Source organism: Homo sapiens, chromosome 1 (assembly GCF_000001405.40).
Source record: "Homo sapiens chromosome 1, GRCh38.p14 Primary Assembly".
Classification (NCBI taxonomy): domain Eukaryota; kingdom Metazoa; phylum Chordata; class Mammalia; order Primates; family Hominidae; genus Homo; species Homo sapiens.
In genome coordinates this window covers 18,126,793-18,152,598 of record NC_000001.11, presented here as the reverse complement: position 1 = coordinate 18,152,598, position 25,806 = coordinate 18,126,793, and the positions used below count along the sequence as shown (strand labels likewise).

Sequence of the window (25,806 nt, the reverse complement as noted above, 5' to 3'; positions counted from 1 at the left end):
CACCCTGCAAAGGTTCGGATGCCTGGTCTCACTTTGCAGATGAGCGAGCTAAGGTTCAGAGAGGTCAAGTGACTCACCTAGGCTTACACAGCACCCAAAAGGCCAAACCAAATTGTGAGCTCAAGACTGTTTGGAACTGAGTCTATGGTCTGTGTTTTCTAAAGATCTGTGGCTCAAATATCACCTTCTCAAGGGATCTGCTCTGACCTCACACCTGTAGCTAACATAGAATCCTGGGACAGGTGTCTCCAGGGCAGGGCACGATGACTGCATGCAGTGGAACGCAGTTAAAACCTTGAAGCCACCTCCAGACTCAGGCATGACCTTCTGGAGTCCTTGGACATCACCCTTTCTCATTTGACATCTGCTTAGCTCCAGGAGGGCAGGAGCACTGTGGATGAATGTGCAGTCGGTCCTCAAAAGGAATCTGTGAGACAGTTGAGTTAATTCATTCGTTCATCTACCAGGCATATAATGGGCACCTCTAATGTGCCAGGCCCAGTTCTAGGCACTGAGGATATAGCAACAGAGGGAGAAAGGTCCCTGTCCTCACGGAGTCCACTCCTAGGCAGTGATTAAGTGTGAAAAAGAACAATAAAGCAGGCTGAGAGGATGCAGAGTGATGAGTAGGGTGACCACGTGCCCCAAATCCCTGGAGCAACCTGCTTGAAACCCAGTGTTCAGAGGATAATCATTAGTGACCCCTTTCACCTTAAAATGGTCCCATTTGGAAGATGAATTATACGGTCACCCACATGATGAGAAGCACTACTAGGATCTCTTTAATTACTAGGTTGTGGGGCAGAAACTGTCAGTTTTCACCAATATCCATGAGCTTCTCCGTATTTCCAAGACCCGCCCCCCACAGCCCCCTGCAGTTAAGGAGGATGTGTGAGTCAGTTGTGGTCCATGGAAGCAGGGAATAAGTGTCGCCCAGGCCTGGCCCCAGACATCCTGTGAAATCCTCTACCATGGTGTGAATTATTCACTCCTCTCCCCCGCCTGTTATATGTGGCATGCACTGTCCCTCCCCATCAGTGTTGGATTTGGCCATGTGACCTGCTCTGGCCACTAGAATGTGGATGTCGATGGTATATGCCACTCTGGACCTGGCCCTTGAAACTCTAGGTCAGAGCCTCCATGTGATCTTTCTCTTCACTCTTCAGCAGACTGAATACAGAGGATCCAGCGGGGAACCTCCCAGGGATGACAGAGGCACAAAATGAAAGAGGCTGGGCCCCCAGAACCATTGCCTGGATGTGAGTGCTCAGGGGAGCCTCTGACCAGGAATAAATGCATTTGATTTTGCATGAACAAAAAATACACTTTTACTGTGCTGTGTCAAGAAGAGGTTGGAATTGTTTGTTACAGCAGCTAGTGTTAATTACCCTGACTGTGACAAGTGGCTCATGAAGGACTCTCTGACAAGGGAAGATTTGAACAGAGACCTAAATGAAGTGATGAAAGGTCCCTCCACACAGAGGATACAGCCTGGGTAGAGGCCCTGGGACGCTCAGGTATTCTGTGATTCATCAGGGCTGAGCCACAGCCATCCGGAGACCTTGCTCAGGTCACATACCCTGCCTGAGCCTTTGTTTTCTCTGGTGCCAACTGGGACAGGCACCACCCCTGCTTTTTTTCCCGATGGCACTAAGCTGGGAGGCTGATGTGGTAATGGACATGACAGGGATTTGGGGCTAGGGCCGCCCCATCAGCTCAGGGGCCACTCTTGCCCCACCAGCAGAATGATCCAGAGTGTAATGGCATTTGTGATCCCACTCAGAGAGACCTTGGTGAGGGGGGCAACTGCCCCAGTGAAAGTGCTGGAGTCCCTGATGGGGTATCTTGATGGCATTGGTGACGGAGGACACTGCACTGACTTCAGGGCTCTCAGCTCCCTGGGAGGTGCTGAGATGGATTGAGTCCCCTCTGGAATTCAAGGAGGAGAAAGGGGTCAAATGTATGTGGACTTCCTGGCCCTGAAGTAGGTATGAAGTTACCGGTCTCGCCTAGCCCCTTAAGCCCATCTCCAAGGAGGCCAGCATTCCTGTCTCTGACCACACTGACTCAAACACCTACAGCTAACACAGAATCGGGGACAGGTATCTCCAGGGCAGGGCACAGTGACTGCACACGGCAGGAACTCAGTTAAAACCTATAAACTACCTTAAGTATCCTGAGACCCCCCCCGCCATGCCAAGCACCATCCTCCTTGTTACAAGTGAACTGTCTCCAATCCTCCCAGCCTCCGTAAGGAAGGTGCTATCCCCATTTTCCAGAGAGGCCCAGGCCTTAGAGCACGTGGCAGCAGAGGATTCCACCCCAGCTCAACCTGGTTCCAAAACCTAAATTCTCTTTCACTCTGTCACCCAGACTGGAGTGCAGTGGCATGATCATAGCTCACTGCAGCCTTGAGCTCCTGGGCTGAAGCAATCCTCCCACCTCAGCCTTCTGAGTAGCTGGGATTACAGGCATATGAGCCACTGCACCCGGCTAATTTTTTGTTTTGCAGAGACAGAGCCTCCCTCTGTTACCCAGGATGGCCTCAAACTCCTAGGCTCAAGCAATCCTCCTGCCTCGGCCTCCCAAAGTGCTGGGATTATAGGCATAAGCCACCACTCCCCGGCCCCAAAGCCTACATTCTTGCTACTGAATAAATGAAAATGTAATTATTATAATAATAATTAGCGTATGGTGAAACTTGCGCTTGGCATTCTGCTCAGAGTTCCACATCATCCCAGAGGCTCCCCAGATCTACCTTTTATAGTAGACATGAATGATTCTCATTTTACAGATGCAGAAACAATGGGGGAGGGGAAATGACTCCCCAAGGTCACAAAGCCGAAAAATTATGGAGCCAGAGTCTAGAGATGGATCAGTGAAGCCAGGCTGATCCTGCCCCGAAGGAAGCCTCAGAAAAACACCCAGGATTTCCACAATCTGCCCATGTTACGAAGACCTATTGGGCCAAGCTGTCAGGCTGGCCTGCCACCGAGAGAGCTCATGCACGAGTGGCTCAGCCATTTAGCTGAGCGGTACTGGGGAGGCAGGTCTTGCTGGCCGGGCACCCAGCCAGGACTGAGGAGTCAGGATATATCACCCCTTATTATTAGCAACATTAGCTCTGTGATTCGCCAGCATTCACGGTATTGACACTAATGATTAGCACAGCCATGAGTCTGAGCCTCTGAACCGTGCCGGGATGGCCACCCCCTCCCTCTGTGTGTGTCATCCCCGCTGTGCATGGTTCACTTAAATCAGTCCCTTGCCCCGAAGCCTCGGAGACTGTCCCTGCTCCCATGGTCTCCCCTGCACACCGAGCGCTCCTCTGTCTCTCCACGTGTCATTACCCACCATGGCCACACACACCCTCTGCAGGCTGCTGGCCCATGTCCCAGCATTGGCCAGCAGGGGCTGTGCCAGGCTGGACAGAGGGGCTCAGGCACACATGTCAGTGACACGCCTGTCCCAGCTGTTGTCCAGGCAAGGTGGGCCGCAGGAGTACTACGGAGCATGCAGACCTCTGAACCCTGCTCCATGCACTTAGCCTGGCAGAGTCTCCGGGATGCCGCCAGACACACTCTGGTGAGCACGTCTTGCTGACACCGTAAGAACTCGTGCACACTTAGCTCAAGCACTGGGTTTATGCTCCGGCTTTTTTAATGAGTATAAGACACTAACTTGTGTGTGCAGGGGCAGGAGGGCTACTCTGTACTTGACTACAAACAATCTCACTCATTCAAGGATAACATGTTTATGCTTTGAATTATACAGGCTTGTTTTTTCCACTTCTTATTTTTATTTCCCTGTGTCTTCTGAGCAATGAAATAAGCGATGATATGATATCTCTGAGGGCAGGGTCTATGCTTACTCACCGTGGCACACATCCTCTCACTCCACAAACATCTACTGTGCACCTTCCTGGTGCCAGGCCTTGCACTAGGCACTGGGGATGCAGCAGGAAACAAAAGAGACCTGGCTGCTGCCTTGATGCAATTTACAGCCTAGTGTTGTGGTCCAGAGTCTAGACGCTGAAGCTGGACTGCCTGAGTTCAAATCCCAGCTTTACCACTAGCCAGCTGTGTGGCCTTGGGCAAGTGACTTAGCTTCTCCGGGCTTCAGTGTTGTATTAGTCCGTTTTCATGCTGCTAATAAAGACATACTTGAGGCCGGGCATGGTGGCTCACGCCAGTAATCCCAGCACTTTGGGAGGCCGAGGCGGGCGGATCATGAGGTCAGGAGATCGAGACCATCCTGGCTAACATGGTGAAACCCCATCTCTACTAAAAATACAAAAAAAATTAGCTGGGCATGGTGGTGGGCGCCTGTAGTCCCAGCTACTCTGGAGGCTGAGGCAGGACAACGGCGTGAACCCAGGAGGCGGAGCTTGCAGTGAGATGAGATCGCGCCACTGCACTCCAGCCTGGGCGACAGAGCAAGACTCCATCTCAAAAAAAAAAAAAAAAAAAGGACATACTTGTGACTGAGTAATTTATAAAGGAAAATGGTTTAATGGACTCACAGTTCCACAGGGCTGGGGAGGCCTCACAATCATGGCGAAAGATGAAGGAAGAGCAAAGAGATGTCTTACATGGCGGCAGGCAAGAGAAAACTTCTGCAGGAAAACACCCCCTTATAAAGCCATCAGATCTCATGAGACTTACTCATTATCAAGAGAACAGCACAGGAAAGACCCACCCCCACGATTCAATTACCTCCCACCAAGTCCCTCCCACGACACATGGGAATTATGGGAGCTACAATTAAAGATGAGATTTGGGTGGGGACACAGCCAAACCATATCAAGTGTCCTCAGTAAAAATGGAGATAATAATAGTACCTTTCACAAAGTTGTTGCAAATCTCAGTAAGTTATGTATATGCAAACCTAGAACCATCCTGGTATGTAGGAGGTACACAATGTTTCATCATCATAGTCACAACAAAAATTATATTCTAGTGGGGAAACAGATGATGAGCAAAAAAACCAACAAAATTATTAATGCTAGCAAGCAGTGTCCTGACAGATGGCTCAGATGTATTCATATAAAGGGAAAATAGGGGAAGGAGGTGACATTTCAATGGGGTGGTGTCAGGGAAGGTATTTCTCGGTGCTTTTTATTTAAATTCAGCCCTGCAGGACAGGAAGGTTGTAGTCTTAGGATCATCCCAGCAAGGGTGATCCAAGCGGAGGAAGCTCTGAGTTCAAAGGCCCATAGGCTGGACAAGCACGCTTGGGAGAAAGCAAGCGGGCCAGAGTGGTGGGAGTGGCATGAGCACAGGAGAGAATCAAACAGGGTGAGGTGGGAGAGCAGGCACCACCAGAGGAAGGAGAGTAAGGCATGGGATTTGATGTCAAGCACGATGGCAGACCTTGGAGGGGTTCAAGCCCGGAAGCGACTGGATCTGATTTACATTTTAATAATATCTCTCTGGACACCTGGAGAGCTGGATGATGAGGGTGGCAGCCGCAAGACCAGCAGGGAGGCTATGGCAGGCGTGGACACGTGGTGGCCTGGGCTGGGGTGGCAGTGGCGTCAGAGGGAAGCGTCATCCAGATGCAGGATGTATTGGGGGAAGAGCCTCCAGAACTCGTTCCTGGACCAGGCGTAGAGAGCAAGGGCAGACAAGGAATCAGGGTGACCATGTTTTTACTTTTGGTGTTTGCTACAAGGCATGTGTTTTATTTCTTACCCTACCATTAACCAGCTGTGTGACCTTGAATATGTCACTTAACCCCTCTGAGTCTTACTTTCCTCATCTACATATCAGGGGTGCTATGAGGATCAATTAAGATAGAACATGAAGACAGAGATGGGAGAGCGTCATGAAGAGAGAAATGTGGAAGAAAGGCTGGGGAGAGGGGCACGTCAGAACTGATTCTGGTCTCACCCGGGACCCTCGGTGGCTCCACAACCTTGGCCAGAAACCAATTCCAGTTTGCTCACATATCAAACAAGGCTGAACGCTCAGTTCCTCTCCTACTACCTTGACCAAAAGGAGGCACTTCTCCCCTAAGGGAGTGGAGGTGTGGGCAGCATGTGGTTGGGCTGGTGTGGGGAGAAGCCTGACTCTTCACTGTCCCAATCCCTCCCTGCGTTGGAGCAGTGATCCCAGGAGGGCCCAGGAGAAGGTGCACTGGCTCAGCTCCAGCCTCTCCTGAGAGTGAAATGACTCAGTCAAGGTCGCCCGCTGAGCCAACGACATGGCCCAGAATAGACTCACGTTGCCCCACCTCCATACTGCACCCCACCCATCCCCCTCTTGGTACAAAGCAGAGGAAGGGACCATCCTCAAACTGATGGACGCTCACTCCCTGCTAGGCCCAGTGCTTTGGACTCGGTGTTCTGGCACAAATATAGCAAGAGATCTGTCCTTTGCAGTTTGCAAGAAATTCGGAAACTAATGGAGAGTGGGGAGAAACTGGCATTGATTACATATTCCCTCTCTGCCTGTTTCCTTACAGTATGGCACTTAATCCTCATAATACCCTCCTTTTTCTCTCCTTTAGATGGATATGTAAACAGGATCAGAGAGGGTGAGGTATTTGCCCAAAGGTCACACAGCAGAGCCAGGGTCAGTGCCAAGCCCACTCTTCATTCACTGTCCCAGCAGAAGCCACACTTTTCTCCCCTAAAAGACCAAGCTAGGCTCCTGTCCCTTTCTGCCCAGGAGGGTTTGAGCCAGAGCCTGGAAACACTTCTTGGAAGGAGGAATAAAGGAGCAACCAAAGTTCCTCCTGGTTCTGGGCTCCATCCCCTGGCAGAGCGTCGACCTTGGCAGGGGAGCCCAAGGGCATCATTTGGACTTCCCTAACCTCCACGCTCAGCCGGCAGGTGCCCTGCGCATTCCTTATGAACCTGCCACATTTGCCGCCCTGAGAAGCCGACATGAGGGATGGCATTTTATTAGTCCCTCCCCACCCTTCTGTTTGGACTTCAAAACATCTACATAAATTACAGTCCTCGTATTTATTGCATCTGTGTTGTTGTGGCAAGAGGATGTGTGTGCTTCGTGTCCTCGGTGGAAAGAAGGTCACCCCCTGGACTCTCTGCCTGCCCATCCCTCTGTCCCAGGGCCCAGTGCCAGTTGGGGCGGCAGGTATCAGGCTGCCTCATGGGAACCAGGAGGGGCTGGGGGCTCTCGGGCACTGGGGAGAGAGTGAGGTGGATTTTACAGCGGAGTTTTCACATGGTTGGTTTTGCCATTAACTTTGAATGCCTTTGTGGGCCTATAAAGCTCCCCATGGTGGTTTATAGGGAGTGTGAATTGAGGAAATTGGTGGCAAGAACAGGGTAATGGGCAGCTTTCAGATACCCACACAAGGGTCAGGGAACAAAGGTGGGGAGGAGCCATCTAGCCACAAAAATGACTCCGAGGATAACTTTTTAAAAAATATTCCATAAATTCCTCTCTGTTTCCCTCCACGGTTCCCTGTCCCCACGCACAGAAAAGGCTGACAGGGTCAGCACCATGCCACGAGCAGCAGTCATCTCTGAGTCATGCTATTTTCTTTTTTGTGCCTTTCTAAACGCTTCAAATTATCTCCAGCTTTCGGGTATTACTTTTGGAATAATAATAAAAAAAGTTATCTTTTGGAGTCAGATAATTCAAAACAGCAGGGAGGAAGGCTTTTTGAGGCACCCGGGACTCACCCATCATAATCACTCATCAGGGAAGCTCCTCTTCTGCTATCTCATTTTATTCTCACCACAATCGTCAAGTTGTGGCAAATGGGGAAATAGAGGCACGGAGAAGTTAAACATCTTACTCAAGGTCACGAAGAACAAGGGCCCCAGCAGGAATCTCACTCTGTCCTTCTGGTCTGGCTCTCAACCCTCTCTGTCCGAGTGGCCCTGCTGACACAAGGGGGAGGTTCTGGCTGACCGTTCTCAGATCAGCAACGTGCTCTGGCTTTGAAGGGTCCTGGGCAGCTTTTCTTGGTGGTCTAAGGGGCTCTATTTACTGGAGGCTTCTCTGGTTAGACCAAGTCACCTAGTACTACCTAGTGGTATCTTCAGGGGACTGGAGGACTGGACCTAGGTGCTTCCAGAGGGTTCCGGACCCAGGCTAAGCTAGGTCAGAATTGGGCAGAGGAATAAATGGAAGGAAAGGTGGGCCAGATCTCTTCAGGGTCAGGGGCAGAGCCCAACAGCTGCTTCAGGCACAGGCAGCTTGGGCAGGGAGGTGACTAGGGGTAGCCCTACCTCTGGGTGGGACCTGGGGAACTGAGTCCAAGGGGGCATGGGGCCCTTGGCTCCTAGCCTGGGGCAGCGGGGCATGGAGGTCTGTGAGCCGCCTGTGGACTCAATCCTTCCAACTCGACTGAGGCTTACCAAGGTGCTGCTCTGTCCTGGGAAGGGGCTGTGGGCCAGGCCTGGGGAAGGAGAAGATGGGAGGAGCAGAGGCTCCTGCTGGCCTGTCCTCCTTCCTCTGCATGCCTCCTCCCCGAGAGGACCACGTGGAAACATCAAGGAACAGAAAACGGAACAGAGTAGACACTGACATTCCCCTAAGGTGGAAATGTGACAAGGTCTAGGGACACAGACCTCAGGGGGCTCCCACTCTGATGCAGGGAGACAGTCTTCTGCCATCACGAAGCCTTAATCTGATAGGGGAGACACAGCCCCAGCCCTGGGGAGGTCCCAAATCTGATGAAAGAGTCATAGCTCCAGCCCCGGTGAGGTCCCAGTCTGATCGGGGAGTCACAGCTCCTGCCTTGGGGAGAGAATCCAAGTCTGATGGGCACCACTCACCCCCCTACCACCTAAGAGCTCCCACCTAAACAGAAAGACAAGACCTCGCCCAGAGAAGGGACTTTAGAACCCTTTAACAGAGACATAGAAGGGAAGGCACGGGCCTACCAGGTCACCTGTGTGCAGAGGACTTTCTGAAAGACACGAAATCCAGGGGTCGCACAGACAGCATTCAGGAAGCCTCCCTGGGAAGGTGATTCCTCCAGCCTCTGAAAGTCCAGCCAGGCTCTGCCAGGCCATGGGAACAGATTCTCCAGCAAGACTTCATCCACCCCCACAAGGCGTCTGTGGTGTGGGGAGCTGGACACTGACAAGGAAAGCGAGGATTAGAAACCCATGCCATGGGCATGGGCTGGGACGGGAGTTTGCACTTTATGACTGGGCACTGGGGAGCCATGGAGAGTTCTAAGCAGGAGGGAGAGTGCTCAGATTTGTGATTTGAGAAGCTCAGCGGGACTGTCTAGAGGAAGAGCGGAGGCAGGAGATCAGGGTCCAGGCTGTTGTGTCATCCAGCCTAGAGATGAGGGTCCCGGCCTGAAAGGGGACAGCCGAGGGGGTGGGGGATAGCACACAGAAGTCCTGAAGCTCCGCATCCTGAGCCCAGGCCCGACAGAAGGGCCCAATGAGATTAAATCACGGCTGCACTCCAAGCAGCTGCCTGGCTGAGCTCAAGGACGCAGGCCCAGGGTCCTCCTCTACAGATGCCCACTCATCTGCGGGAGCCTTGGAAGCTGAACCGCAGACATCTGCTGTTACTAGGCCTGTGTGGGGTCAGGCTCATGAGTCCTGTCCCTGAGAGAAGGCCCAGGGAAGGCTCTGGGCATCCTGGGGTCCCCCAAATTGGAGAGGCCAGACCCTTTGGGTAGGGACTTGGGGAACATGTGACCACAGCCTCTGGTTCCCCATCCAAACACTCAGGTCATGATTGGACCCTTCAGCTGCCAGGCAATGGCCACTGGGGGCTGCCCAGGCCACAGGCCGCCCCTGCTTGCTGCATCTCCCATCTGGATGGGCATTTGTCCCACTCGCTAGTGCTTTAAACCAGGCAGTACAGGGGTCAGGCAGAGGCCTGAACTGACCCATCTGGGGGAAGCGCTAATCAGCCCCCCAATTTGCATATATGCAAACAAGGCTCCACTGTGGACAGTGCAATTAGCATTGCCTAATGCCTGGCCAGGCCACGAGGATTGGCTGTGGGGCTTGGGATTTTATCTGTTGGGCTCAGAGCCCGGCTCCTTCTCAGCTGAGGCCTGGTTGGGTGGATGATGAAGTCCCAGATTGAGCCAAGGCCATCTGGGAAGGGGCAGGGAGGGCCCGAGGGCCAGGGAAGACTTCCTGGGTCTTGTATCCTAATCTTCATTTTGGGCAGGGGGAGAAGAACCATCAGGTGATCAAGTAAGGGTAGAACATCTGACCATCACAGCTCCAATAATGTGGCAAAGGCGGAACAAGCCAGGGCGTTGAGTCAGAGAGGCCTGAGTTCTAATCCCGGTTGGACCAGTTAATTGACCACTCTGGGCCTCAGTCTTCTCATCTGTAAAATGGAGACGAGCCTCCTACATAGGCTGTTGTGAGGATTAAGGCCTTTATAGGTGCTAGTCATAGAGTAGTTGTTCATTAAATGGAGTCCCCTTGTCCTGATACGGATTGCTAGAGAAAGAGAAGCACGTGCTTGTTTCTCACCTTCTCTCCTCACCCTGTTGGTTTTGGTTTTGTTTATTTTTCATCCAAACTGTGCTTTATTTTATATATACATATACATATAAAAATTATTTTGCGACAGTATCACTCTGTTGCCCAGGCTGGAATGCAGTGGCACAATCTTGGCTCACTGCAGTTTAGGCCTCCGGGGCTCAAGTAATCCTCCCACCTCAGCTTCCCAAGTAGCTGGGACCACAGGCATGCACCACCATGCCCGGCTGATTTTTGTATTTTTTGTAGAAATGGGGGTCTTGCTATGGTGCCCAGGCTGGTCTCAAAGTCTTGGCCTCAAGCAATCGGCTCGCCTTGGCCTGCCGAAGTGCTGGGATTACAGGTATGAGCCACTGTGCCCAGCCATGAACTGTGCTTTAAATTGTATAAAGTGTATGTCCATCTAATAACTTGTGAAACAGCTGGAGATGTTGTCCAGGAATGTATTATTGTCCCCGTCTTTACAAATAAGGAAATGGAGGCCCAGAGAGGTAAAGCGACTTGCCTAAAGTCATCCAGCAAGTTGAGAGTAGAGCAGAGAATTAGCTCTCCAGGTCCCTCACTCTCAGTCATATGCTTCTTCCTGCCCCAGTGGCTACTGGTGATCCACAGCATCCTCCCTGTCCTCTGTGTGTCAGCCTCTCCCCCAACCCCCTGCCCTACATCCCTGTGTTCCAGCAAGTTCTCTGCCTGCTGAGAACTTGATGACAGCCAACCCTGCTCAACCAGAAAGTGGGAAGTTCCTTCTTTTGTCTGACTGCAGCTTCTCTTGCTTTAAAGTCAACCTATCTCTTTTTCATCATTGGCAGGTGGGCAAAACTTTGGCCCACCATTCACCTCATTACATAATAATGACAGTAGTCATTATAATAAATAGAAACAAGACAAAGCAAGGTCTCAGAGCTTTAAACTCTCTCTCTCCTCCTCCCTGTCTTCCTCCCGACTAGATGAGACCTTGAGCTTAAGATCCTTCCTTCTCAAAGCCAATTCCCATCAGCCTGGATGCCCAGCCTTCAGTTCCACTTGTCCCAGCATCCTGTCCTGCTGGGTGACCCCCGAGGTGGTGAGGAAAGAGAAAAGGTTGTGAAGGCATGGAGACTGGGGTGCTTCACTCTGGTCGTGCTCTCCTCAGATGGATGCTAAGCCCTCATTGTGCCACGTTTGCTGGGTTCCTGTGTGCAGACACAGGTCAAAGGCCACAGGGAGCAGAGGGCTAAGGGGTGTACAAGATTCACACCTGGGCTACCTCCTCCCCCAGAGAGCTGGGCAGCAAAGAAATGTGGTCTCAGGCCTCAAAGAATAAGTGGGGAGAAGGGGCAGCCCGCAGAGGATGGTAATCCTGGGTGTAAATGCCATGACAGTGGAAGGAGCCTATGTGGATGCTGAAGAGGGATCCCCCCTGCCAAGCCAAGCACAGGGCGTAGTCAGGGAAGACTTCCAAGAAGAGGTGACCACTGAGCTGAGTCCAGAAGGATGTCTTGGCATGAGCCAGGTGAAGAGGAATGGGAAGGCAACCAGGCAGAGGGCACAGCAGGAGCAGACACGCGACTGTGAAGCATGGTCTGGCTGGGGAACTGGAGCCACGATGTGGGAGTGCCCGCTTCCATGGAGCATGCATATGCGGCCGCCTCCAGTGCTTTCCAGATCCTCACCCATGTGATCCCCACAGCTGCCCCCACTCTAGGCACATTGAGGCTTGGTTTGGGCTCCCCGAGATGCAGACTGTGAGAAAATAATTCAGATGCAGGTAGCTTATTCGGGAAGTGACCCAGGAAACATCAGTGAGGGAGCAGGAAGGCAGGGCAGGATACTGGGTGCATTAAGCCAGCTTTCCTGCAGGCAACTAGAACTCCACCCTGCTGGGGAACTAGGCGAGACAGGGTAGAAGATACACCTCCAAGTATCAACACCAACAGCAAGGAAGCTGCGTGATTCCAGCACTCTGGGATGCCGAGTGGAGAGAATCGCTTGAGTCTACAAGTTTGAGACCAGCTTGGGCAACATAATGGGACCTCTGTCTCTACAAAAAATATTTAAAAATCAGCCAGGCACGGTGGTGCACACCTGTAGGCTCAGCTACTCAGGAGGCTGAGGCAAGGATTGTTTGAGCTGGGGAGGTTGAGGCTGCAGTGAGCCGTGATCGCACCACTGCACTTCAGCCTGAGCGACAGAGCGAGACCCTGTCTAAATAAAATTTTTTATTTTTTTTAAAAAAAAGGAAGTTGGGATATTCATTCTCGAACTCCCTGTCTGTCCTTGGTTGAGAGCTGCTTCCAGGAGCCCTAGCTCTCTGCACTTCTGGCCTGCCCTGTGCACTGGCCAGGGATGCTGCCTCAGGCAATGAGTTTCATTCACAGTAAGCAGACTTTGGCGGGTGGAGAGAAATACAGAGAGTACAGCCAGGCACTGACAGCATCTGCTACAATATTAACCCCATCTCACAGATGAGGAAATTGAAGCCTAGGGCATCCAGATAATGAGGCCTAGGTCACACACCCAACACGTTGTGGGGCTGGCCTTCAAACCCAGAGACCTGTCCCAGAGCCTTTGACCATAACCACTGAGCCACACTGCCTGACAGTGGTCCATTCCTGACCTGACGACAGCACTGCAGAGGGTGGTGAAAAATGAAGACAGAGGGGAAGGCCCTGGGCTCTGGAATGGGAGCAAGAAGCTCTGGGAGGCCGAAGACACTGGGAAGAGGGTGGGTGAGATGGATCGCCCAGGGAGCCTGCACGATCTTCCAGCAGGGGGAGGTGCTCAGGAACCCAACTGGCCCCATCATCGTGTGACGTAGACAGCTCCCGGAACCCTGAGCTTTGAGTCAGATGCCCCGGCTCCCATCCCTCTGGTTCAGCGACCGCATTTTCCCAGCCCAAATGAGAATTTCTCATTAGACACAGCACTCCCAGTGGGAAGGGAAGAGTGAATTTATTCATGCAAAAAGTGTTACCAAGATTTAAACATTAGAGTGCATTTGGTTATATATACCACAAATTATCTTTATTGAAAAGAATAAAAAGTGTTGCCATTGGGACCATCCTAGAGAATCCAGAAAATATGGACTCTGCACCCAAGAGGGAAGAGCGCTCCTGCACCAGCAGCATTGAATTCAGTGGGTAAGGATGTGGGTTTTAACGGCAAAGCCACGACCAAGCACACTGGCTGGCACTCAGCAGGTGCTTACTAAGTGCTTGAAGACAAAATGACAGGTCTGAATCCCAACTCTCCCAGACTCTCTTTGTGGCTCTCTCTGGGCCTCAGTTTCCTCATCTGTAAAAAGAGGACAATAATGTCCATTGACAAGACATTTAGCTAATTCAGGGAAGGGCCTTAGCGGGCATCCTGGCTCATAGTAAGTGCTCAGTTAATGGTGGTGGCGAGGGAGCAGATGCCAAGCTGGCATCTTGCACTTCTTTACCTAAAAGAAGTCTGCTGTGAGAGCACTTGGCCCATGTGTGGGGCAGGTCACTGAGAGGTGGGGGTTAGAGGATCAGTACCCCAGCTTCCTCGCCCCTTGCCAGGTGATTCAGAGTATGTCCCACACTGCCTGTCAGCGGTTCCCTCACTGAGAGAGCAAAAGTGAAAACCGCATCAGTTGCTTTTCTTTTCCCAGCCCACATCCCTCCTGCTGCTACCTCCTGGGGTCATTCCCAAAATAAACCCCTGCATCCAAATCCTTCTCTCTGGCTCTGCTTTGAAGGGAACCCCAAAAGCAAGCAATAACAGTAGCAGTAGTAGGAATACGGTCCCCCGTGCTAGACCCCAAAGAAGCAAGTGATCAAGCAACACCCCACTGGTCCCTGCTTACTTCTCAGGCCATCGTAAGGATGGATTGAGATAAACAGCTGGACAAAGCTGTGGAAATGAAGAAAGTGAGGCCACATGTCCTGCGAGGGATTATTATATTTCCTCGATGAGATAAGGATCTTAAAGCTCACTGGTTCTGTAGCCCATGCTTGGGGCTCCAGAGCAAACTGTCTCTGGCTCTGTTAATCCCAGCTCAGCCCACCTGTCACTTACGAACCCATTATCTTCAGCCCAACCCTGGGGCAGCTGCATGTGTCCCCAGCATGGATCATGTGTCCTGTTGCTGGGGACACGGTGGGCCAAAGACAGGGAGAGAAAGAAGATGGCCCTGGCTTCTATCGCCAGGTCAGATCTGCTGGAAACAGAATCCCAGCTCTGCTACTCCCTTGCTGTGTGGCCTTGAGTCAGCTACATAACCTCTCTGTGCCTCAGTTTTCTCCATTTATAAAATGGAGAAAATAATAGAATCTAACTCATGGAGTTTTTAATGCAGATTACACACATTAATATTTATAAGCGCTTAGAAGACTTCTCAGCGCACAGTAAGCACTACATAAATATTTGTTAAATAAATACCTATCTTGCTTACCACAAAGGGTTGTGGTAGGATCACCAGATGATAAACACATGAAAATCCTTCATATGTGGTAGAAATCCATGCAAATATATTAGAGTTATGAACTTTCTCTATGTCTCCATCCCCCCAAAGTGGCTTTCCTCAGTGGGCTTTGTCCTGCACTGTACAAAGGAGGGACTTTGGAGTTTCCCACGCCCAGCTATGAAATATGGTGCTGCCTCTCACCAGCCACGGGATCTTGGGCAAGTGACTGCATGTCTCAGAGCCTCAGTTTCCCCATCTGTGAAACAAGAATAACAGTGGCTCCAATCTCTTAGGGTGGGGTGAGCATTAAGGAAGACAGGTGATATAGGGGGATCAGGGGGATCAGGTGGATGTGTGTCCCCACCTAAATCTCCTATTGAAATGCAATCCCCAGTGTTGGAGGTGGGGTCTGGTGGAAGGTGATTGGATCATGGGACAGATTTCTCATGAATGATTTAACACCATCCCAAGTTGGTACTATTTTTGCATAGTGAGTGAGTTCTTGTGTGATCTGGTCATTGAAAAGTGTGCACCACCTCCCCACCTTGCTCTCTTGCTCCTGCTCTGGCCATGCAATGCACCTGCTCCCCCTTCACTTTCCACCATGATTGGAAGCTTCTAGAGGCCTCCCTAGAAACAGATGCCAGTGCTATGCTTCCTGTACAGCCCGCAGAACCACGAGCCAATTAAACCTCTTTTCTTATAAATTACCCAGTCTCAATTGCTTCAAAGAGAATAAAATACCTAGGAATCCAACTTACAAGGGATGTGAAGGACCTCTTCAAGGAGAACTACAAACCACTGCTCAGTGAAATTAAAGAGGATACAAACAAATGGAAGAACATTCCATGCTCATGGGTAGGAAAAATCAATATCGTGAAAATGGCCATACTGCCCGAGGTAATTTATAGATTCAATGCCATCCCCATCAAGCTACCAATGACTTTCTTCACAGAATTGGAAAATACTACTTTAAAGTTCATATGGAACCAAAAAAGAGCCCGCATCGCCAAGTCAATCCTAAGCCAAAAGAACAAAGCTGGAGGCATCACACTACCTGACTTCAAACTATACTACAAGGCTACAGTTACCAAAACAGCATGGTACTGGTACCAAAAGAGATATAGACCAATGGAACAGAACAGAGCCCTCAGAAATAATGCTGCATATCTACAACTATCTGATCTTTGACAAACCTGACAAAAAGAAGAAATGGGGAAAGGATTCCCTATTTAATAAATGGTGCTGGGAAAACTGGCTAGCCATATGTTGAAAGCTGAAACTGGATCCCTTCCTTACACTTTATACAACAATTAATTCAAGATGGATTAAAGACTTACATGTCAGACCTAAAACCATAAAAACCCTAGAAGAAAACCTAGGCAATACCATTCAGGACATAGGCATGGGCAAGGACTTCATGTCTAAAACACCAAAAGCAATGGCAACAAAAGCCAAAATTGACAAATGGGATCTAATTAAACTAAAGAGCTTCTGCACAGCAAAAGAAACCACCATCAGAGTGAACAGGCAATCTACAGAATGGGAGAAAATTTTTGCAACCTACTCATCTGACAAAGGGCTAATGTCCAGAATCTACAATGAGCTCAAACAAATTTACAAGAAAAAAACAACCCCATCAAAAAGTGGGTGAAGGATATGAACAGACATTCCTCAAAAGAAGACATTTATGCAGCCAAAAAACACATGAAAAAATGCTCATCATCACTGGCCATCAGAGAAATGCAAATCAAAACCACAATGAGATACCATCTCACACCAGTCAGAATGGCCATCATTAAAAAGTCAGGAAACAACAGGTGCTGGAGAGGATGTGGAGAAATAGGAACACTTTTACACTGCTGGTGGGACTGTAAACAAGTTCAACCATTGTGGAAGTCGGTGTGGTGATTCCTCAGGGATCTAGAACTAGAAATGCCATTTGACCCAGCCATCCCATTACTGGGTATATACCCAAAGGATTATAAATCATGCTGCTATAAAGACATATGCACACGTATATTTATTGCGGCACTATTCACAATAGCAAAGACTTGGAACCAACCCAAATGTCCAACAATGATAGACTGGATTAAGAAAATGTGGCACATATACACCATGGAATACTATGCAGCCATAAAAAATGATGAGTTCACATCCTTTGTAGGGACATGGATGAAGCTGGAAACCATCATTCTCAGCAAACTATCGCAAGGACAAAAAACCAAACACCGCATGTTCTCACTCATAGGTGGGAATTGAACAATGAGAACACATGGACACAGGAAGGGGAACATCACACACTGGGGACTGTTGTGGGGTTGGGGGAGGGGGGAGGGATAGCATTAGGAGATATACCTAATGCTAAATGACAAGTTAGTGGGTGCAGCGCACCAGCATGGCCCCTGTATACATATGTAACTAACCTGCATGTTGTGCACATGTACCCTAAAACTTAAAGTATAATAATAAAAATAAATAAATAAATAAAACAAGTACATAAATAAATAAATTACCCAGTCTCAGGTGTTTCTTTATAGCAATGTAAGAACTGTCTAATACAACAGGTCAGTGAGGCATCTTGGGCAGAGCCTGCCCCAGGAAACACCCAGTCAATGTGATTTTCTCTCCCCAGCTTCCTGAAGGAAGCCATTTCACGTTTGGGGTTTGGGGTCCTCATCTGTAACAGGAGCTCAATACCCCAGCTCACTAAGCTGACAGGAGGATGGCGTGGGCTGATGTGCGTGGAAGCTCAAAGCCCAGGGCCTGGAGTGAGCATATGCTCAGTAGCAGCCCTTTTCCTCCAGAAAAATCTGTTGCTCAATCTAAATCACAGAGAATCCTCTAATCTCCCAGGCATGGCTGTGGAACCCTATGTAGGATTTCTCTGTCTCACTGTAACTGACTGAGGCCCCGGTCTGAGCAGGTTGAGTCGGGGAGGAGCCAGCCACAGTGGACTCTCACTGCCCATGGACCCTGGGGCAGAGGACCTGGGCTTGGGTGCTGGGGTTTTTCAGTACCTGTGAGGTCCACCCTGAAGGTGTGGGCTGGACAGGTCTTTGTGGTGGGTGCTGTGGTGGGGAAGAGGGGGGTGGGCACTGAGGAGGCCAGGCCAATGCCCATGTGCATCCACAGCCCAGGAAAAGCCCAGAGATGTTTGTCCAAAGGCTCTGCCCTGCTCTGGCCTAATGTGTTTGCCTAAATGCTTATGTCTCAGATAAGAGGCCTGGGAGATGAGCGGATAGTGCCTGCGAGTAATTAACCCTCCCCCAGGGAGATGAGCTGGCATCAAAGCTGGTCACAGAGAAGAACCAGAGGAGGAAAGGGCTGGTTATAGGATTTCTGCCTCAGAAGCTTCTGAGGCCATGTCCACAAGGAATCAGAACATCTCTGGCAGCTCAAATGGGGTTTGAGATGACAGCCTCTCTGCCCCCCTTACAGAAGGGGAAAATTCAGAGAGGGTGACAGCAGAATCAGACCTCTAAACAGCAAAAATGCCAGCTCCCCAGGTAATGGGAAGGCCACAGAGGAGGGTTAAGGGGGGCCACAGAAGATGGTTTTCCTTTTATTCATTCATTTATTCACTCACTCACTCACTCATGGTTCTACTAAGAGTAACTGGTAAGCCACTCTCCTAGGTGCTAAAACACACATTACCTTCCTCTAGTTTGTAGCTACCTGAAGGTATAGAACCTCCCCATGCTGCTCACTGCTGTCTCCAAAGCCTGGCACATTATCAAAACTTGATAAAGATCTCTTAAATAAGGGATTTAGCTCATTTTATTCTCCCCTGCAAAGTAAATATTCTTATTATTCTCATTTTATGCTTAGAAAGCTGAGGAGTGAAGTCACTGACCCGTGTGGTCATCATGAATTTATTCATCCACAAGTAAATATTCACGAGCCCCTACAACGTGCCTGCAGTGACCAAGCCAACAAAGCCCCCCACCGGAGGCTTCCAGCCCCATAACGGGGATCGGCAGTTGTCCAATAGTGAAGGATTTGGCCTGAGGACGTGTCATTATAAACCGAGGCAGGGGTCACGGGAGGAAAGTGGTTACTTTGTATTCTGAGCTCCGTGCCATGGGGCAGACTGTTGGTAGGGGAAGATCTGAAGGAGATGGTGGTGCAAGGGGGCTGGCAGTGCAGTCAGGTGGAGGAGGCTGTAGATTACCTGAAAGCGGCAGCATGGAGCACCTGTCCATTTACAAAGCACATTTGCTCAGATGATCCCACTGGACAATGCCATGAAGGGTAAATTACAGCCGCATTTGTCAGATGGAGAAGCGGGGGCGCCCAGAGAGGTGAAGCGACTTGTCCAGGGCCACACAGCGGCTGTGTAGTGAAGCCGAGTGCAGACCCAGCCACTCTGCAAACCCACTGTCTTCCGCCAAATTGGAATCAGGGAAGCCGTGACATGGGGGTTAGACCAGAAAGGCTCCGCTGCTCAGCAGAGGCGAGATGGAACCGGAGCCCTGGCTCACATGCTCTGGGGGCCTCAGGAAGGTTGGGGCTGGGGCCAGAGGCCTGGCTTCACCCCCAGCCTCAGTGCATGGGTATCTTGAAGCCAAATCCAGCTTTCCCTTCCCCCTCCCTCTTCCTTTATGGAGACGCTAATTTTAGCAATCCACAAAGTCAGCCTGAGCTTTTAAAACCGGACTGATTTATGCTTTTCCTTAATTGCTCCAAAAAAGTGCTTTGCATCTAGAGGGAGAGAGAATGAATATAACTCTATTTAGGTTAAAAATTTAAAGCCAAATTCTCACTGGTCTGGCAAGAAGAAAGGAAGACACTCAACCCTGTCTCCGTCCCCTCCCTCCCCCACTCCCTCCACCTGCTCAGAGCCTCTGTTTCTGCCCCACAGGCCAGACCCCGCCCAGTACAAGAAAACAGGGAGATGCTAGGAGGCTTGCCAGATGCTTAAGGGATGGCAGGACACCTTTTAAGGGCATCATGGGGAAGTTTGCAGACCCTGTTAAACCCAGCAGCGGTCCCCCACCCCCTTGCCCACCAAGGGACCCATGAGCACAGGATGGATTGGGTGGGGCCCCTGGAAGTGAGGTTTCAACTCTCAGTCTTTGCCAGGGAGAAGAAAAGGGGCTTCCCTCCCTCCTTGCCTGACAGCCCAAGAGGTGGCCAGGACCCAGAACGCAATCATGGGGTAAATCTCTGCGGTCATTTTGCAGTGTGGGAATTAGCTCATATCTCAGCCATCTTGGCCATCCCTCTGCCTACAGGCTGGGGCTGCTGAGGCTGAGCCCAGATTCTAATACTGACCTTTCCAAAGGTCTTCTCTAAGGCTTCCATTCAACAAACACTGAAAAGCTGCCTTTTGCCATGCACCATGCTCAGTGATGGGAATCTGACAGTCAATGAGTCAGGCAGGGCCCTATGCCCACAGGGCTGACCATAAATCCAGGGGAAATCTATGGGTCAAATCTATGGGTCATAGATATGACCTTGTCATAGGTCAGTGTGTTTGTCATAGGTCATAGGTCATAGGTCATAGGTCAGTGTGGTTTGGTTTACTATCATTCCATCCATCCATCCATCCATCCATCCATCCATCCATTCATCCAGATATTGGATAAACATATTCTGTGTCCAGCACAGTGTTAGGTGCTAGGGTTACAGAAATTAATAAGCCAGGATCAATAAGACAAACAGAAACACTGTCTTCATGGATTTCACAGAAGGGGTAAAGCAGGCAAGTAAATGAGGTATTTATTAAAGTAGAGATAGCAGCTGGCTACCAAAAATTCATATCTCTCCTCCTCAGCATTATACAGAGTTGTCTCTGGAAGGCAAACCACCCCTCAACCCCCACCCCTACCACCTTGATACATTTCCCAGTCTCTCCTGTATGCAAGTGTGGCCAGTGACCTTTGTATATGAACCATAAGGAGAAGGCATGTGCCACTTCCAGGCTTATAAGAAGTAGAAGACAGTCCTCTACCTTTCCTCTTCCACTGCCTGGAAAGGACTATGTGCCCCAGAAGATGGCAGAGCCACAAGACAGAAGGAGGCCTGGATCCCTGAGTCAGCACATGGAGGAAAACCACCCGCCTACAGAGATACCTTCAGTGAACTGTGATGTGAGCTAAAAATAAACTTCTATCGAGCTTGTGCCAGTGAAATTTGGGGGTTTGTTATAGCAACAAGTGTTACCATGGCTAATATAATTAAATTTTATAACACACCTTTCTGTAAGTGAACAAAGAGATAAAATCATGTCATTTGATTCTTAACAATTACATGTAGCAATTAATTGTCATAACATCAGAGATGTGAAGTAACTTGCCCAGCATCACACAGCTTGTAGGCGGTGGGCCAGGATTTGAAACTGCCTCCCACATCCTTCATCCGTTCACTTTATATGACAGTGTGCTCCTAGCTGGAGGTATAGATGAGAAAATCAGTCTGGGATGGAAAAGCGATGTCTTCATCAACCTCTGGGTTCAGAAGCTAGGGTTGGGAGTTTATGTCTGAGCTACCAGTGTGGTTTCTGCTTCTGAGACACGTGAAGAAAAAAACAAAAATCTGCCTCAGGTATGCCCCTCCCCAAGCAGGGACAGGAAGCCTCAGCTGGACCCCTTTCCTCTAGCAGTGGCCATCTTTCTGGAGGGGTTTTTCTCAATCCACGGGGAGCTCCATTCTCTCCTCCCTGGATAGAGGAAATGAGGAGGTCAAGACATGCAGCTCCCTCGGGCCTGGCTCTGTCCTCAGCCGCCTAGGCGGACCTCAAAGACATCTCCATCAGCCGGCCCGAGGCTGTCAGAGCTGAGGGGCACTCAGGTCCCCCATACAGGCTGTGAGAGCTGTATTCTCCAGGGCTGGCTCAGCCATCAGAGCAGGGGGGCCAACAGGGACAGCCGGACATGGACAGATTCTGAGGTGGCTGAGTGGCAGGAGGGTCCATTGCACACCTGTAGGAGGGCTGCTGCTCTCCACAAGCGGTCTGGAGTCATCTTTTTTCTCAGGTAACATTTTTTTTCTCCACAAATGTCCTGATATTCAGACAAGGAGGTGTGCTGTGTAATGAAGAGTTCTGAGCTCCTGAGAGCCAGCTGATCTGGATTTGAATCCGGGCTCTGACACTCACTAGCTGTGTAACCTTGGGTGAGTTACTAACCCTTTCTGAGTTCCTCAGTTTACCTATCCTGAAAATGGGGCTAATGATGTTTATGTCACAGGGGCTACTGAGAGGATTACATGATACAGTGGACAACTGATGGTTTAAGAAGAGAGAGACACAGAATCAGAGAATGTTCTAGCTAGAAGAGCCCTCAGAGGTCTGGTAAGGAAAACGAGGCCCAGAGAGAGCCAGCCCCTTGCCCTGGGTGGAACAGAATGGTAGGTGCTCATGGTTCATCCTGACTGCTCCGTTTCTGTCTTTTCTCTTCCTCCCAGTCTTCTTCCCACAGGAACTTCTCATCCTGGTGTGAAGAGTTGAACTAAAGCAAGGGAGAAAGAGAAGAAGAGGGTGTCTCACTTCTAAGCCCCTTGTCACACTCAAAGGCCAGACCTCACAGGGTCACAGGGTTTCCCACGGCTTTTGTGGGATGGGGTTGGGGGGTGGTGTCCAGTGCTTAGAGCAGAAGGACACTGGGCTTTTGTCACTCAGAGGTAGGACCAAGTCCTGGTGCCGCCCATACTCAGCAAGTCTGTTTACCTCCTGCACCTCTGCCCCTCTGTCTTAGCCTGTTTTGTGCTGCTTTAACAAAATATCACAACATGGGTAATTTATAATGAACAGAAAGGTATTGGCCCATGGTTCTGGAGGCTGGAAAGATGGAGAGGCTGGCATCTGACGAGGCCCCTCTTGCTGTGTCATCCCATGTTGGAAGGCGCGCGGAAGGGCAAGAGGGGCCAGACTCACCCATTGATAACAGCACCAATCCGACCCATGAGTGTGGAGCCCGCGTGACCTAATCACCTCTTAACAGTCCCACCTTTTAATACTGCTACAATGGCAATTAAATTTCAACATGAGTTTTGGAGGAGACAGACATTCAAATCACAACATATCCTCTGTGCATGGGGACAAGATGCCTACCATGAGGGGTTGCTGGGTCGATACGAGACTGCACCTGCTGAGGCTGCTTTCCATGATGGCTCCCTCCTCACCAGCCCCACAGTGCTGGCCTGTATGCCTCCACCCACTGACCCCTTCTCAGCCTCTGAGTCTTGCCCGTGGGTGGCATGGCCAGGCCAATAACCTCAGAAGGGCCAGTGCCAGAGTCAGAGGCTCATCGAGGTGGCGTGGTTGAACCAATGTCCAACTCAGAGCCCTTATTCATGGGGAGGAGCTAGAGGGGGCACATGAGAGAACTGCATCCATGACAGACACCCTTGGGAAGACTGGAAGGGTCCCCCTCTGCTGACCCAGCACTCCTTTCCTGCCTCTCACCTCCTCTCCCACCTCTCATTTCCCTGCCCGTTGCCTTTTCCCAACCTGAGTAAAATTTGCCATCCTGGTGCCCTCCCAGATGGTCCAAGCCCCGGTTACTCTCTCTCCCCTTTTCCTGACCCAGGCACCTTGAGTGAGGAATTCTCCTGCCTCTCTCCCCATAACGCTATACTGCTAATAAGATTAAAACGTATCTCCCTCTTACAGTATCGATTCATAGCACTGACTTACTGTTGCTCCTCAGCTGCTACAAAACGGATGCACGGACCGCCACCTTAATCTCTATCCATCTCCCCACTGCTGGGGAATAACTGCTAATTAATACCTTTCTGCCTCCCAATGCCTGCCAGCTTTGAGAGCCATCAATACTCTGTGGGCTCCAGGCCACTCAGCCCACTCACCCAAGCGCTGGAGGCTCCAACCCTGTCCAGAGGTATCCTGGGGTTCAAGGTGAAATAAAAGGAGGTGAGGGGTGGGCTTTTTCCCTCCATCATCCTCCCATGTGACACAGAGACATACACACACACACACACACACACACAGCGAATGAGCAAGAGACAGTGGCTAACTCAGTAGTGATGGAGTCAAATCCCAGCTCCTCCACAAACCCACTAGGGGAGTTTCATCTCTGAGTCTCAGTCTCCTCATCTGCAAATGGAGAATACAGTAGGGCCCACCACGTGGAGTTCTGCAAGAATTAAATAAGAACAGGTCTAGAATTGCTTCCCTGGGGCCTGGAATGCTCTTTCCTCGGGTCTCCCCAGGGCCAAAGGGGACACTGTCATGGGCCAGCTGAGCTTGCATCACTGGTGGGAGGGAATTACCAGTGACAGATTCCCAGCAATGGGGTCAGAGTCCAGAGAAGGCCCCATCCAGGGAAGGAATCAGCTACAAACATACGCCCTGGCCAGGAGACGCCAACACCAGGGCTGAGCCAGACTTTTCCTGCTATTTTCTTCCCTACTCATCTCATAAGGCACCTCCTCCCAGAAGCCTTCCTTGACCACCCAATCTAGAGAAGCTGCTCTGCTCCTGAGTCCCTCACAATCCCACAGCCCTGCTTTACTCCCCTCACAGAGGTTCACAGCCAGAAGTAGGTTATTTATCCATATGTTTATTCTTGTCTCATCCACCAGAATGTCAGCCCATGCAGCCAAAGCTCTTGCCTCCTGTTCAGAACCACCTCCCAGGCACACAGTAGGAGACCAATAAATATTGGATAAACGAGTAGTAAGTTATCCATTAGTATTAGCTAACAACAATAATAATAATATCCAAGAGTATCACTAATCTCTTCCCTTGAATGAAGACCTGATTAAATGCCCTCTCTCCTTTAGTGAGGGAGCCCACCGTGAATTAAATAGTTATGGATGTCAGATGCTTTGGGCAAAGATGTTCAGCTTCACCCCCATTTGTTTTTAGAAGACAGTGTCTTGCTACGTCACCCAGGCTGGAGTGCAGTGGCATAATTATGGCTCACTATAACCTCGACTTCCCGGGTTCAAGTGATCCTCCCACTTCAGCCTCCCGAGTAGCTGGGACTACAGGAGTGTGCCACCATGCCCGGCTAATTTTATTCTTTATTTGTTTGGTAGAGATGAGGTTTCACCATGTTTCCCAGGCTGGTCTTGAACTCCTGGGTTCAAGCAATCTGCCCACCTTGGCCTCCCAAAGTGCTGGGATTATGGGCAAGAGCCACAGTGCCCAGCCAACCCCCATTTTGCAGATGAAAAACTGAGACTTAAAGCGGTCACGTGCCCTGTCCAAGATGACCCATCTAGCAGGTGGCTCAGCTCTCATTCAGACCTAAGTAGGCCCCACCCTAAGTTCTCCACGTGGCCCTGATACCACACAGCACTGTCCGGAGGAGGACTGCTTCTCCACCAGAAATATCTAGATGCCAGGACTCTTTCCTCATGACTTCCATATTGAAACTGACAGGTCATAGGGCACCTCCTCCAAGAAGCCTTCCTTGACCACCCAATCTAGAGAAGCTGCTCTGCTCCCGAGTCCCTCACTATCCCACAGCCCTGCTGTACTCCCCTCACATAGCTCCACAGCCAGAGGTAGGTTATGTATCTGTATGTTCATTCCTCTCTCATCCACCAGAATGTCAGCCCATGAGGCCAAAGCCCTTGCCTGACCTGGCCAACTCCCATTTTGCAGATAAGAAACTGAGGCTCAGTGTGGTCATGTGCTCTGTTCAAGATGACCCATCTAGCCAGTGACTTAGCTGAGAGCAAGGAGTTCCATGTGGTCACTGGTAGATGGAACATGAGCAGCCTGGGAAGGGACAACAGCCTGGGCTTGTATTTGCATGGGGTACGTGGGGAGGGTCAGAAATGCAGGGTGAGGGGCATCTAATGGGATGTGTGAACACCAGGCAGGATTATCATTCCAAATTCCCCAATCTGTCCCCACCTGCAGGATTTCCCTTCATCTCATCAGCACCTGACACCCTGGCTGTTCCTGGTGGTAGGGGTGGAGGATGGGTGGCAGCTGTCGGCTCTGGAGGGGGTGTGGGGGGAGGAAGCCTCA

General features: G+C 50.5%; 1 protein-coding gene across 2 annotated transcripts in view, besides 4 other annotated features; it reads right to left on the bottom strand.

Moving 5' to 3' along the window:
* The window catches only part of IGSF21 (immunoglobin superfamily member 21), a 270,686-nt gene that overhangs the window by 225,885 nt on the left and 18,995 nt on the right, over positions 1-25,806 (bottom strand). The gene's annotated exons all lie outside the window — the stretch shown is intronic.
* Positions 4,981-5,480: an enhancer, noted in NCBI's record as "H3K4me1 hESC enhancer chr1:18473613-18474112 (GRCh37/hg19 assembly coordinates)". NCBI's record gives its function as "activates a minimal SCP1, AML or CMV promoter by ChIP-STARR-seq in primed H9 embryonic stem cells {active_cell/tissue: H9 hESC(primed)}" and the evidence as "EXISTENCE:reporter gene assay evidence [ECO:0000049][PMID:30033119]".
* Positions 5,481-5,982: an enhancer, noted in NCBI's record as "H3K4me1 hESC enhancer chr1:18473111-18473612 (GRCh37/hg19 assembly coordinates)". NCBI's record gives its function as "activates a minimal SCP1, AML or CMV promoter by ChIP-STARR-seq in primed H9 embryonic stem cells {active_cell/tissue: H9 hESC(primed)}" and the evidence as "EXISTENCE:reporter gene assay evidence [ECO:0000049][PMID:30033119]".
* Positions 9,145-9,760: an enhancer, noted in NCBI's record as "H3K4me1 hESC enhancer chr1:18469333-18469948 (GRCh37/hg19 assembly coordinates)". NCBI's record gives its function as "activates a minimal SCP1, AML or CMV promoter by ChIP-STARR-seq in naive H9 embryonic stem cells {active_cell/tissue: H9 hESC(naive)}" and the evidence as "EXISTENCE:reporter gene assay evidence [ECO:0000049][PMID:30033119]".
* Positions 9,761-10,378: an enhancer, noted in NCBI's record as "H3K4me1 hESC enhancer chr1:18468715-18469332 (GRCh37/hg19 assembly coordinates)". NCBI's record gives its function as "activates a minimal SCP1, AML or CMV promoter by ChIP-STARR-seq in naive and primed H9 embryonic stem cells {active_cell/tissue: H9 hESC(naive and primed)}" and the evidence as "EXISTENCE:reporter gene assay evidence [ECO:0000049][PMID:30033119]".